The 14,328-nt window shown below is 39.1% G+C and overlaps 2 long non-coding RNA genes and 1 pseudogene across 2 annotated transcripts in view, besides 1 other annotated feature; 2 read left to right on the top strand and 1 right to left on the bottom strand.

Moving 5' to 3' along the window:
• Nucleotides 1-616: 616 nt before the first annotated feature.
• On the top strand, nucleotides 617-813 carry LOC101928952 (serine palmitoyltransferase small subunit A-like; annotated as a pseudogene).
• Nucleotides 814-3,489: 2,676 nt separating this feature from the next.
• Nucleotides 3,490-10,022, top strand: LINC01649 (long intergenic non-protein coding RNA 1649). The gene is made up of 3 exons (NR_125969.1): nucleotides 3,490-3,673; nucleotides 6,481-6,559; nucleotides 8,890-10,022. It is a non-coding gene; the product is annotated as a long intergenic non-protein coding RNA 1649 (long non-coding RNA).
• The window catches only part of LOC101928977 (uncharacterized), a 54,704-nt gene continuing 47,062 nt past the window's right edge, over nucleotides 6,687-14,328 (bottom strand). The window contains exons 3-5 of the long non-coding RNA NR_125970.1: nucleotides 8,927-9,124; nucleotides 8,185-8,266; nucleotides 6,687-6,726 (exon numbers count right to left, since the gene is read on the bottom strand). This is a non-coding gene — a long non-coding RNA (uncharacterized LOC101928977). The remainder of the gene's footprint in view (nucleotides 6,727-8,184; nucleotides 8,267-8,926; nucleotides 9,125-14,328) is intronic.
• Nucleotides 12,242-12,743: an enhancer, noted in NCBI's record as "H3K4me1 hESC enhancer chr1:116470749-116471250 (GRCh37/hg19 assembly coordinates)". NCBI's record gives its function as "activates a minimal SCP1, AML or CMV promoter by ChIP-STARR-seq in naive H9 embryonic stem cells {active_cell/tissue: H9 hESC(naive)}" and the evidence as "EXISTENCE:reporter gene assay evidence [ECO:0000049][PMID:30033119]".

A 14,328-nucleotide genomic window follows, 5' to 3' on the forward strand; every position in this document is an offset into this window, starting at 1 on the left:
TAAAAAATATTTTTTTAAAAAAGTATCATTTCCAGCCGGGCACAGTGGTTCACGCCTCTAATCCCAGCACTTTGGGAGGCTGAGGGGGATGGATCACGAGGCCAGGAGTTTGAGACCAGCCTGACCAACATGGTGAAACCTCATCTCTACTAAAAATACAAAAGTTAGCTGAGCGTGGTGCCGTGCCTGTAATTCCAGCTACTCAGGAGGATCGCTTGAACTTGGGAGGCAGAGGTTGCAGTGAGCCGAGATTGCGCCATTGCACTCCAGCCTGGGCGACAGAGTGAGACTCCGTCTCAAAAAAAAAAATTCAAAATTAGTAAATCATTAAGAGGAAGAGATAAATTGCCAATAGAAATAATAAATAGGCTTTTATATTATTTAATGATCTAATCAATAAAAAAGAATGAGTTATACGAATATATTTGTAAAATATTTAAATTTATAATTAGACAGGAATGTTTATATTGACAAAGATAATATAAACCATAATACACCATTAGAAGGAGGACATAGATCACAAATTAGTTAATAGTGAATGCCATCAATTCATAGCATATTTAAGATTAGTCATTGAGAGACTGAAATGCCACCTCATCGCAGGAGGCGCCTGGCAGGGATGGAGCTGGTGCGGGCCTGGAAGTAGATGTCCTGGTTCTACTACCAACACCTGCTGGTCACAATGCTCTACATGCTGGAGCCCGAGGAGCGGAAGGTGCTCAATTCCACGCTGGTTTCCATTGATACGCAGGATACATCTTCATGACCCAGCACATCATGGCGATATTGCACTACTTTGAAATTGTACAATAACCAAGATTAGAGGTTCCTTGGGGAAGACCCACCCTACGAAGTTGGAATGACACCATCAGATGTGATAAGAAACTCTTCTAAATGTCAACCTAACCAACCTAAAATTCATGAGTAGAACAGGAAAATCACCGACTCATGTGTTGTGTTCTATATTTTTCATTTTAAAAGAAGCTCTTGCATAGTAGCTTTTGTCTATTTTAACATTGCAGCCATTTGTACTTTGATATCACTATTTTCTTTTCTTTTTTTTTTTTTTTTTTTTTTTTTTTTTTTTGAGATGGAGTTTCACTCTTGTTACGCAGGCTGGAGTGCAATGGTGCAATCTCGGCTCACTGCAACCTCTGCCTCCCAGGTTCAAGCAATTCTCCTGCCTCAGCCTCCCTAGTAGCTGGGATTACAGGCATGTGCCACCACGCCCAACTAATTTTGTATTTTTAGTAAAGATGGGGTTTCTCCATGTTGGTCAGGCTGGTATCAAACTCCCGAACTCAGGTGATCTGCCGGCCTCAGCCTCCCGAAGTGCTGGGATTACAGGCGTGAGCCACGGTGCCCAGGTGACATCACTATTTTCTTAACCTTTGTGACTGTTTCAATATTACCCCCATGAAAGCTTTTTTTTATGTACCTTTGAGTACATTATAATTGTCTTATATTTTAAAGTCATTAGTTGGGCTTTACTGTTCTTGCTATTGTATGACATATACATCTGCCTGGATATATTTTTACTCTTGACCAAAGTTTTATAAGAACAATATAAGATTTAGGGTAGGGGCATGGGGAGGAAGGATATTTTATTAAGAACTACTTAAAAGAACTACTTGCTGGGCACGGTGGCTCACACCTGTAATCCCAGCACTTTGGAAGGCTGAGGCAGGCGGATCACAAGGTTAGGAGATCGAGGCCATCCTGGCTAACACAGTGAAACCCTGTCTCTCCTAAAAATACAAAAAAATTAACTGGGTGTGGTGGCGGGCGCCCGTAGTCCCAGCTACTTGGGAGGCTGAGGCGGGAGAATGGGTGTGAACCCAGGAGGCGGAGCTTGCAGTGAGCCGAGATCATGTCACTGCACTCCAGCCTGGGTGACAGGGCGAGACTGTCTCAAAAAAAAAAAAAAAAAAAAAAAAAGAACTACATATATCAAAATATATTTTATTAAGAGCTACTTATCTGTAAGCTTGAACTCACAAGTATAGTTTTAGCTATCTAGACTCTAACAGCTTTTGCTTTAAAACTATTAAAGCATTTGTGGTTTTTTTGTTTTGTTTTTGTTTTTTTCTTTTTTGAGACCAGAGTCTTGCTCTGTTGCCCAGGCTGGATCTCGGCTGCAACCTCCACCTCCCGGGTTCAAGTGATTCTCCTGCCTCAACCTCCCAAGTAGCTGGGATTACAGGCACCCGCAACCACACTTGGCTAATTTTTGTATTTTTAGTAGAGACGGGGTTTCACCATGTTGGTCAGGCTGGTCTCGAACTCCTGACCTCGTGATCTGCCCGCCTCAGCCTCCCAAAGTGCTGGGATTACAGGCATGAGCCACCGCACCTCGCCGGGTAATGATTCTTGAGACAAGAGGTGGTTAAGTAGCATTATTATGTAATGTTTATATACCATGGAGTTTTTACAAGAAGATAAATCTATTTCCTCTGAGGGCCACTATTAACAATGTACTTCCTTAAATTTAGTTAAGTGATCGTAATACGTGCTGCATTTGCACATTGCATTAAGTTATGATGAGCTGAATTGTTACAAATTATAGCAAAAAGAAGTGTAAACTTGGCTAAAATCCTTCCATTCTTTGTATTTTTTTAAAGATTTTTATTCCTTAAATGCAAAATGACTACCTAATTTTTTTATGTAAATTCATTAAATTCAAAGAGAAAAAAAGATTAGTCATTGAACAGTAACAACAACGAAAACAAATTAGAGATACTCTGAAATCTTAGAGTTCACATATGACAAAAATTTGATGGAAATTTCCTAAAACTGTGATCCCAAGCATTTATGTGATAGTACAAATAATGAGTTATGAAGCTCACAGAAACTTTTCCAAATTCTTAATGAAAAACAAATTTGATCAACCATGCTACTGGAAAGACTAATCTATCTTTATATGTACCCTCTTGATAGAAAATACTACAAAAATCTTTGTTATATGAAGTCGTGACCCAAGAATATATAGAGCCAAAAAATGAAGGCATAATTATATAGGGGTGTCAGGGCAATTAAGTACCATGTATATATATATATTTTTAATTTTGTGATTCTTGTGGCAGTTAAATATTTTTAAAATGTGTAATTGATAGCAATTTCTTTTCTCACTTTAAATCAACACTCAAACCTAATTTTGTATAAATATTCTTGTCATCTTTTTCTTTTAAAAAGCCTCTAAAATTATGTAAGCTTCAGACCCCAAAAGGAGTAACTTATCAAGAGGAAAAGATCCTAGATTCACTTCTGCTTCTACTTATTCTACTTCTGGATTTATTAAACCATTACTCAGATTTTAAAACACACCACACACAAAGAAAAGTTTCTAAAATAAATGAGCTAACATGGATTTTTTTCATATTCTCCATCTTCTTGATAGCCCAGAGATCCTGATACTCTTTGGACTTTGGTAGTGGAATGGTAGATGTGTGTTGAGAATGGAAGGGAGTTAAGGATGGGGTTCTAGAATTCAGATGCCCTCTTAGGGTTTGAAATGTGGGGGAAAAAAAAAGAGAATCACTGCTTATCTTAGTCTGTTCGGGTAGCTGTAACAAAATACCATACCTGAGTGACTTACAAGTAATAGAAATGTTATTTCTCACATTTCTGGAGTCTGGGAAGCCCAAGATCAAGGTGCTAGCAGATTTGGTGTCTGGTAAGGGCTAACTTCCTTGTTCAAAAATGGTGCCTTCTTGCTGTGTCCTCACATAGTGGAAGAGGTGAGGGAAATTTGGGGGGCAGCTCTCATAAGGACACTGATCATTCATGATGGCCTGCCTTCACGAGACTCAGTCACCTCCCAAGGGCCCCCAGTTCCTAACAGCATCACCTATGGCGGTGAGGATTTCAACATATACATTTTAGGAGGATACAAACATTCAGATGATAGGCCAGAGCACTGACCTAGGCAATGGCATCTACAGAAAAGAGAAAAATAATTTACTTTTGACTTGAGGTGTCTTGGGTTTAAATCCCAGTCCCACCACTTAATCATTTGTGACCCTGAGCCCCGTGAGCTTTGATTTCTGCACTTGTAAAAATAGGCAGAATATTAAATACCTTTAGAGTTTTTCATGAAAACTAAATGCTACCTCTGAAGTTAAATGAAATTGTAAGAATGAAATAAATAGGGCTGTTTTAAAGAGTAAATGTGCTCAGTAATTGGTGTTCTGTAAATGTTAACTTCGTTCTGAAATATATAGAGCAGGATGTCAACTTATGGAAAGAATGTAAATATTTTTTGGTTATAAATACCAATGAATTTTTCTTACAATGCCAATGGATCTATACATACTATATGGATTATATTTAAGCTTTTTGCCTTATCTTAAAGCTAATAGCAAATAGGGCAATGATGTATATGGGCAATTTACAAAAGAAGAAACAAGAATATCTGGTAACATAGCAAGAATTTTTTAACATTTTCTTGGTCATCAAACACAATATAAACAATGAGATACCATTTTGTTTCTCACACTGGCAAAGATTAAGAAGAATGAAAATGCCCACTAGCTGGTGGTAAGGCGGGAAGGGGAAGGGTACACTCATGACATTGGATAGTTGGAGTTCAAATTGGTACAGCTGTTTTGGAGATCAATTTAAAAGTAGGCCCCCTCTCCAAAAGCAAAATAAAACTTTAAAAATGTTTACTCTGCATTTAAAGCTGAAAGTATGCCTTACTCTATGATTTAGTTATGCCTCTCCTAGTTTATATTTTTTGAAGTATAAATATGTCATCCAAAAGACATGTATAAGAATATACATAACAGCTTTATTCAGAATAGCCTAAATGTCTATCAGAAAAAAATAAATCAATAAATTGTAGTTTTTTTTTTAAAGGATACTATGAAGCAATAAAAAGAATGAATTACTGCTATACTCCACAGCATGGATGAATCTCACAGACATTATGTTGAGTGAAGGAAGCCAGAAACCAAAGAATACACACTCTATGATTCCATTTATATGAAGTTCAAGAACAGGGGATAGCTATTGACTGGGAAGAGGCATGAAAAGCATTCTGGAAAATGTTTAATCCATTGATCTGGGTGGTGGTTGTACCCATTGTCTATACACTTGTAGAATTCAAATCGCAGTACACTTGAGATTTATTCACTTTGTTGTATATATGCTATACCTCAATTTAGAAGTTTTGAGAAAACATACACTTTGACTTAGCAAGTATGTTTTCATTCTAAAGAAAAAAGTCAGAGGAGTACAAAAAAGGTTTACATACAAGAATGATCACCATAGCATTATTTATAGTAGCAAAAATCTGGAAATACAATCCAATAATAAGGAAGTAGTTAAATAAAATTATGATACATCAGATAGTAGAATGCTATAATCATTAAATCAGATAAAATAGAAGAGTCAAAAATATGGAAAGTTTTTCATAATATAATGTTCCAAAAAAAAGTAGGTTAACCAAACAGTATTTAAGATTTAATACTATATTTGCTTAAAATATACATGTCTGTCTCCCTCTCTCTCTCTCTATATATATATATGTATATTACATAATCCACATGCTTATCACACGTATCTCTGACTAATGGGATTGTAGATAATTTTCCCTTTCTTTCTCTTGTTTTAAGCAGTTTTCTATATTGGACATGTCCTGTTTTGTAATCTGCAAAAATCTGAAATAAAATGTAAAAGGGAAAAATGCTAGGTGTGGTAGTGCATGCCTATAGTCCCAGCTACTAGGGAGGCTGAGGCAGAGGCTCACTTGAGCCCAGGAGTTTGAGACCAGCCTGACTGATGCAGCAAGACACCATCTCAAAAAATAAAAAATGAAAATAAATAAATAAAAAGGAGGAGAAGGCCAGGCGCGGTGGCTCATGCCTGTAATCTCAGCACTTTGGGAGGCCAAGGTGGGTGGATCATCTGAGGTTGGGAGTTCGAGACCAGCCTGGGCAACATGGTGAAACCCTGTCTCTACTAAAAATACAAAAATTAGCCAGATGTGGTGGTGCACACCTGTAATCTCAACTACTCCAGAGGCTGAGGCAGAAGAATCACCTGAACCCAGGAGGCGAAGGTTGCAGTAAGCTGAGTTTGCACTACTGCACTCCAGGCTGGGTGACAGAGTGAAAGTCCATCTCAAAAAAAAAGGTAGGGGAGGGGATTGAAAAAGAAAGAACAAGAGTGAGCAAATCAACTCTCTATATAAGTAAGCTGTTCTGAACATTTACATATTGCATTCTAGGTATGCCCTTGATGAAGGTAGTTAACCTCTCTAAGCCTCAGGTCCTCTCTGTAAAATGGGAATAATTATTGCACCTAACTTATGGTATTGTTATCTGGATTAAATTAAATATTCTGTATGTAGTGCTTAGCAGTGTCTGACATATCATAAACACTTCATCAATATTAGCCATTACATTACTCTGGGACACTGGCTAAGACCCCTAGGTTACCAGAATTGACTTAACTGCTCTTGTCTTCTTTTCACCTTAGGTATCTACTGACCTGGTTATCGCTTCTTCCTTTAAGGAGTATTAGAACACTGCTGGGGATGGGCTGACAAACATACCAGGTATTGATGCATACAGTCCCCTGAAAGGTCTCATCTGATTAGGGACATTTATTCTGAGAACCAGGTCTCAGAATTCTCTTTTGGATGCATCAAAGTCCAACCGATTCTGAGAGCCAACTTGGTGCGTATCCCTCAGAGAAGCCTTGGGGCCCGGGTTCCACACCATTCTGTATAAAAGTGGAAAGTTAGGAGACAGCTGATTCGCTTTCTCTGTAGAATTATCTTCCCACAACTCACTGTAGAGGTCTATCACACAATGGGTTTTAGTTTCTTTTTTTCCATTGCTTTCCTTGTTTTCTATTTTCATTCTTTTCTAAAATTTTCATTTCCAGAGCTGCTTCTGGGCTCTCTTCTCCCTGCGCCAACCCACCCCCACCTCCTCCCCTTTCTCCCTCCTTCCTTTTCTTTCTCGCTCTTCCTCTTCGTCTCTCTTGAGACAGGTCTAGTGGCCTGGTTGCCATCTGCTGCCTTTTTTTTTATAAGGTTGAGATCAGATGGCATCTAATCGATCGTCATGGTCTCCATGGTTACCAGGGTGACAGAGTACTTGGGAGAGACACATTCTCGAGCCTGGGGCTGTCAGACCATTCCTGAGAGGGGAAAGGAAATAAAACCCCTTCCATCATATTTACACCTTTACATCTTTCTCAAATGCAGCAAAACACAGACCCTGTTTATGTTTTACATAGTGACCTAGTGGCTTGAGGCCAGGGAATGCAGAGTGGCTTTTTTCTATTTAAAAAAATGCACAAGGACAGAAGTAAAGGGTTTTTTGTTTTTTTGTTTTTTAGCCTCAGAACCATCCCTTCCCCTCCCTGCTCCATACAGACCATCCCTTTTATCATTTTTTTTTCTTTTCCCTTTAAATGTTTGGGAATTAATTCAGTAATTCTACTGAGTTGTTATTCTTCCAATAAATCATGGTAGTTCTAAAAGTGACAATTGACAGCTATTTGCTTTAGGGAAAGAAATAACCTTCATAAAATTACCAACACTTTCACTTTTGATTAGAATCAGTGTTAATGTTAATGTTAGTTGTTCTTTGGCCAAGCATTTGTAATATAGGAAGCCATTTTTCCCACAAAGAGCAGCTTCATATGATAAAATGTAAACAAAATGACCCTTATTCTTAATGCAAAAAGTGCTTAGGCATGACTGTGGTCTGTAATGCTTTAATGCCTAGGGGCTGGCCAGTCTGGCAGAAATACATCCAGGCCTTACTCTAATAGAATATGATGGCGTTGACAGCCCAGATCTGGTGGAAAGAGACGTGAGGAAGATCTTGGTAATAAGGATATATAGCTAATGGGAAAAGGGCTAGATTTCTGGAGTAACTCAGAAATAAGAAAACAACCAATTATCATACCATTAAATAATGTTAAAATTACATAAGGAATACCATCCTTGGCATATTAAAACGCCTTTAATATTAGGCACAGATGACTTGGGCTATAAGCTGCTTTACTTCCTTTTCTGGTAATATGTTATGCTTCATAACACTTACTAGAAATTCTCCCCTTTTTTTGTGTTTGTCAGAGAAAACCGAACTTAAAATTATAGCACAGGTACAAGGCCTATCTATAGGTGATTTTTTTTTCATTTAAAGAAAAAATATAATGCCAAACCATGAGCAGTGCTTGCTTGCTTCCTTCCTTCTTTTGTCTCTGACTTCCCTTCAGACCTCCTGCATCTTCTTCTGTACAGTTCCTAGTAAGATTCAGATATATTCATTTGCAGTGCCTTTGGCTGTTAAGCAAATAGCACAGTGATATTTGAAATAGAAATGATGCCATCAATTGGAGGAGAGACTTTAATATAAAGGGAAAATAATGTATCATGAACAAAAACCTTCTTATTCATTTTGGACCTTTGCATCTTAGCTAATGCTTGCCTCTCTTTCCCTCTCTGCAATTCCTCCTATTCTCTCCCTCTTTACTGGTGAGTTCAATCATTGAATGGCTGGGGGAACTGCTTTTATTTAATTCTCACCTCCCCAGAAAAGCTTTCCCCAAATTCCCCATCACAGACTTCTGAACTCCTAGTGTTCTTTTGGTCTGTGCTTCTCATTCAGGACTTAGCTGTGTTGCCTTTCACCCCGGCTTATGTATTTGTCATGTTTATCTGTTGCCTCTTATTTACATTGTAAGCTCCAGAAAAGAGAGACCATTTCCTCTGCTTCTGGGCTTCTCCCTTACTTTGTACCTAGTTAGCTCTTACTAAATGTTTGATAAAGATAATAGCAGCCTGTTGTGCCTACAGGGCAAGCGATAGCTGTTTTTTCTTTAAAGACCAGGAACCAAATTTGATTTTTAGCATTTCTTCAACTGCAGGGATTTTACTTTGTGTCAGCCAAGAGGCTTTCCTTACCTCCTTGTCTTCAGTACTCTTGTGCACAAGCATGCTTCTCAGAGAAGGTGGATTCTACCTTGGAAGGAAATGAGTCGTTTCCTCCCATCAGGACAACTGCCACAGCATGGTGTCAACTCACTCTTGCCTTTCGTAAATTGAGTTTGTCAGTGCTCAGCGACACAGCTGAGTGAAATGTTGTGTGATGCGGGCTGTCTCCTGGGAGAGAGAAACTGGCATAAACCACATCCTAATGGGATCCAGAAACAAAGAAGCGTGAATGAAGTGTTAATTGCATTCATAAAGACATTAACAAAGGAATTAAAATGGCAGAAGCTTCAGTCCCCCACTCAAGATTCACAGAAAAATATGTTATCCAAAGAATGTTTCAACAATAATCATCAAAGTTTATTGCTTGCCCATTGGGGAAATAACTCTTGATACATATTAACTTTTCAAAGAACATTTTGGGTCCATTATTTTGAGTATATTAACTAACAGACAGTTTATTCCACCCTACCTCCAGTTCTTTGCTTGCTTTTGTATGATTTAAGTTTCAAAAAAATCCAGAGGCATTTTCAGTGCTGCTTCATTAACCATAAGGATGTCTGTTAACAGTTTGAACCTAATCAATCCTACAGTTCTTATTAGAGCAAAATGCTCATTATCTGGGAGAATTTTTGCTTTTTGAAATAAAATTACAAGACTGGGGGTTTATTTTACAGTCCCTCTTGAATATTCCTGAGATGATCTGCAATGTGGGCAACCCGGGGCTCCCTCCCCAGCCCTGTGGCAGGGCCCCCCAGCTGCTGACAGCGGGGCTAAGCTGGCAAAAGGTCAGGAGGCTGCATTTCACTGAAGATGGATCGCACAGATGAATATTGCGCTTGCTTAATGAAGTCAAGGCCACGGATTTGGGGCCTTTTATGGTTCTTCTTGTTTCACTCAATTTCACCTTCATAGACCACGCCACTAATCCCAGCCAATCATTTTGTAGATATGTGCAACTGGTGACTAAGGGACTAGATAAAAGTAAATGAATCTAAAAAACAGTGACCAGAAATTCAGAAATCTCTGTGCCTATAACAAACTCAGAATTAAAAAAAAAAAGCATGCAGAGTGAGTGTTTCGTGATCCTTGCAGAAACTCTGTGAGATATATGGAGCCGACATTCCTACCTTCATTCTGCAGGTAAGAAAGCTAAAACTCAAAGACATTAAGTAAAGTCTCAGGATTAAAATTCAGATTTTTTTAATCATCTGACTGCTCTTTCTGCTGTAGTCATCTAACCCTCCCAGGATCTCATTTAATTTTCACAAGAATCCTATGAAGTAAGACAGGCTGTATAAACAAGTGGGTTGATTTTTCCGGGAATCATTTTTTTTTTTTTTTTTTTTGAGATGGAGTCTCGCTCTGTCGCCCAGGCTGGAGTGCACTGGTGCAATCTCGGCCCACTGCAACCTCTGCCTCCCAGGTTCAAGCGATTCTCCTGCCTCAGCCTCCCGAGTAGCTGGGACTACAGGCACATGCCACTATGCCCAGCTAATTTTTGTATTTTTAGTAGAGATGGGGTTTCACCATGTTGGCCAGGATAGTCTTGATCTCTTGACCTCACGATCTGCCCACCTTGGCCTCCCAAAGTGCTAGGATTACAGGCGTGAGCCACCATGCCCAGCCTCCAGGAGCCATATTAATGCCACTAGAGGAGCAGGTGCTCTCAAGCCTCTCCTTAGAATTTGGCTGAACCCCCGGTTATCTAAAACGCTATGTTTTTCAGTCTTGTCTAAATCAATCATATTCATGGATGTGGCATCAACTCAATGGTGCGGGTTTAAAAGTGACGAAATTCTAGTTAGTTGTATGTATCTGGGCTGATCAACACAGATCGGTGAGTGGAAGGGGGTTCAGAAGTGCACATTCAGCATCTCAGAAAAGCTCCCGCATAGTTATAAGAATCAGACCAATTGAGTCTCTGGTTGCTTCTAATTCTGGTGCAAACATTGGGAACATTTCCTCCCAGACGTGAACTATACATAAAATTCAGGTTATATGCTGTTTTGTATTACTTGTGCTTAGTATCACACATGTTACCATACTCTTAAGAGGTGATTATTTCTTATTAGAACACATCATTTAGAGTACTTGATTTCAGAATTTTCAAATAATAGCAAATTTAGCTCCAGTGTAGCCATGCCACCAAGTTGTTCAGAAGTCTGATTCAAACAGCATTTTGAATTACCTAGAGAGTTTATTCATATTATTTGCATTTACTTTATTTATGTTTTTATAATTTTGTGTCCTAATTAGAAGGTCCTATTATGTGCTCTTAAGATGGAAGACTAATTTAATCTTTTTTTTTTTTTTTTTTTTTGAGATGGAGTCTTGCCCTGTTGGCCAGGCTGGAGTGCAGTGGCATGATCTCGGCTCACTGCAAGCTCCGCCTCCTGGGTTCACACCATTCTCCTGCCTCAGCCTCCTGAGTAGCTGGGACTACAGGCACCTGCCACCATGCCCGGCTAATTTTTTTGTATTTTTAGTAGAAACGGGGTTTCATTGTGTTAGCCAGGATGGTCTCGATCTCCTGACCTAGTGATCCGCCTGCCTCGGCCTCCCAAAGTGCTGGGATTACAGGCTTGAGCCACCGCGCCCGGCCTTCAACTAATTTAATCTTACCTATCTATGGCTAGGTGTGGGATGCAAGATGTATAATAAACGGAAAAAAAATCAAAGTGAGCAGTTGGCCAGTTATATATTCAATCTAGACAATTAAGGTTAAAGCCTTACTTTTTCATCAATAGCAGAAGTGTTGAAATTTCATTCATTATATTTATGTAAAAATTAAGAGAATTAGTTCATGCGCCTAAGTCAGAATTGTGTCATTATCATAGGGTGGTTATATTCCATTTCCACTTATAAAATCAAAATGGATGAAGTTATTTTCTAGGGCTGCACTGTCCATTATGGTAAGCTCCTAGACATATGTGGCTATTTAAATTAAAATTATGTAATCAAAATTAAATAAAATTAAAAATCCAGTTCCAGATTTTAAATCCTTAATAGCCATGTGGTTAGCGGCTATTGTATTGGACCATGGAGATTTATAGAATATTTTTGTCACTGCAAAATGTTCTATTGAACAGTGCTGTTCTAGAGCAAACAACTGGAATTCACACATACCACAGAAATACATTCTATATCCAATCATATAGTTGTTTGTAAAACACCATATACAGTTTAGTGACAGTGACTTGGAGCGCCATCCTGCTGGGGCTTGGGCATCAAGGAAGGATGGTCTGCAGACTTCCCTCTGAGTGTGGACTGGCCCTGTGTGTCATGGGAGAGGATGATGAGCCAAATCTCTGGAGAAAGGGCAGGTGCAGATGAGCCATTTCCATTTTCCACTCCTGCAGCTCCCACAACCTCGAGTCCAGACCTGCCGCCAAGACGTGCTTGTACAGAAGCCCAAACCAAAGCACATTTTGGATTAATTTTCTGGCTGTAATTTCTTTGCAAAATCTATCTTGTGCCTTTGATTAAGGACTTTCTTTCATTTTTGCCATGAATTTCAATGAATCTGAACCTAACAGTATTTTCCACCAACCAGGACATTTAGCACAGGTATTGACCAAAAGAAATAAGGCTTCAGACAAGCAAGAATCATAACAGAAAAAGAAAAATATAGTCCAGAGCTCCCCGCTGAACACTTTTTTTTTTTTTTTTTTTTTTTTTGAGACGAAGTCTCGCTCTGTCGCCCAGGCTGGAGTGCAGTGGCGGGATCTCGGCTCACTGCAAGCTCCGCCTCCCGGGTTCACGCCATTCTCCTGCCTCAGCCTCCCAAGTAGCTGGGACTACAGGCGCCCGCCACTACGCCCGGCTAATTTTTTGTATTTTTAGTAGAGACGGGGTTTCACCGTTTTAGCCGGGATGGTCTCGATCTCCTGACCTCGTGATCCGCCCGCCTCGGCCTCCCAAAGTGCTGGGATTACAGGCGTGAGCCACCGCGCCCGGCCCCCCGCTGAACACTTTAAGTGAATGTCATTGTCTCATTCTCATTGACAGTCAGCAAGTAAACATATCCACAGACTAAAGTAAGGTCTCTCCCTACTCTGGGAAAGGTGGGACCATTCTTCGATATTTGTCATATAAGCCACTTTAAACTTGTAAAAACTGAAAAGTAATAAATCACCAATCATCTTCTGTTCTCTGATGTTATCTCACTAGGACTCTGCTATATTAAGAAAGAGATTGAGGCAGAATGTTTTCACAAGATTGCTCAAAGTCATGTGCAGCAAGCACATGAGATATACAACTCTCATTGCTTTTATCACATAATTCTTCAAAGCGGCCTTATTGGGCACGTGTTTTATTTTCTTGGTAGACTGTAAATCCCTTGAAACTGCTAATTATACATATTTGCATCCCAAAGTATCTTATACAGCGGGAGGTGCTCTGTACCTTGGTTCAACCTTATCAATATTCACTGAACAAGTGAATGAATGAATGCATAAAGGAGAACCCTGGTAACAAATTTGTCTAGCCTAATTGTGGTAAGTTTTGGCTGATAGGTATAGAAGAGTGGCGGGGGGGAGAGGTGCAAAATTTGAGAAGAAACATAGATTGTGAGCTCATTGAAAAGGTATCATTTCAAAGTTTCCTTTGAATCTCCATAGGGATATGATGAAAGAGAAAATATTTTTAAGGGCAACTGTGAATTTCAATTACTGGAGCAGAGGATCAGAGAAGAGTTGCATCCAATCTATTGTCTTTCAAAAGAATTTCTTTGCTGACATTCTGCCTGGAAGTAGGAAACGTAAAAATATTGTATTAATTTGTAGTGTATAATTTTGTATTAATAGCCAAGTGGCACGATAATGGAATCAATTGACATTGCAAATAGGATGAAAATAGAATGAACATAATTGAACTGAAGCCTATATACTTTTTCACAAATTTGAATGAAAATGAATCCCAAAACAAAAGTGACCACTTTGTAATCTGTCCTCATACTCAGATCACCCCTGATAAGTCAGCACTCAACCCAATCTTCAATATTTCCAAGTAAAGAGAACCACAGGGGTATGTTAAAGGCCATAAAAGGGAGTTTAAGCAAATATTTCTAACCTCTTTTGTGCTTTAACAATGCCAGTCACCAACTTAAGCAAGTTTTTTGATGTAACTTTCTAGGTCATGTATCTTTAAATCACCATGACTCATATTTGTCTCTGTTCCAACTGTTTTCTGGTGTCTCTCTTGCTGAAATGGTTTCAATTAGAGCCTGGAAAGGGTTGATACAGAACTCTTGCACAGTGCTTGCCAACATGGGAATTGGTTTTAAACATTGCTGTTTTTCGTCCAGAAAAAAATTCCCGCTTCCCGCCCTTGAGTTAGAAGAGATTATTCTCAGACAGGCGTTTAGCTGATTT

Source organism: Homo sapiens, chromosome 1, assembly GCF_000001405.40.
Source record: "Homo sapiens chromosome 1, GRCh38.p14 Primary Assembly".
NCBI lineage: Eukaryota > Metazoa > Chordata > Mammalia > Primates > Hominidae > Homo > Homo sapiens.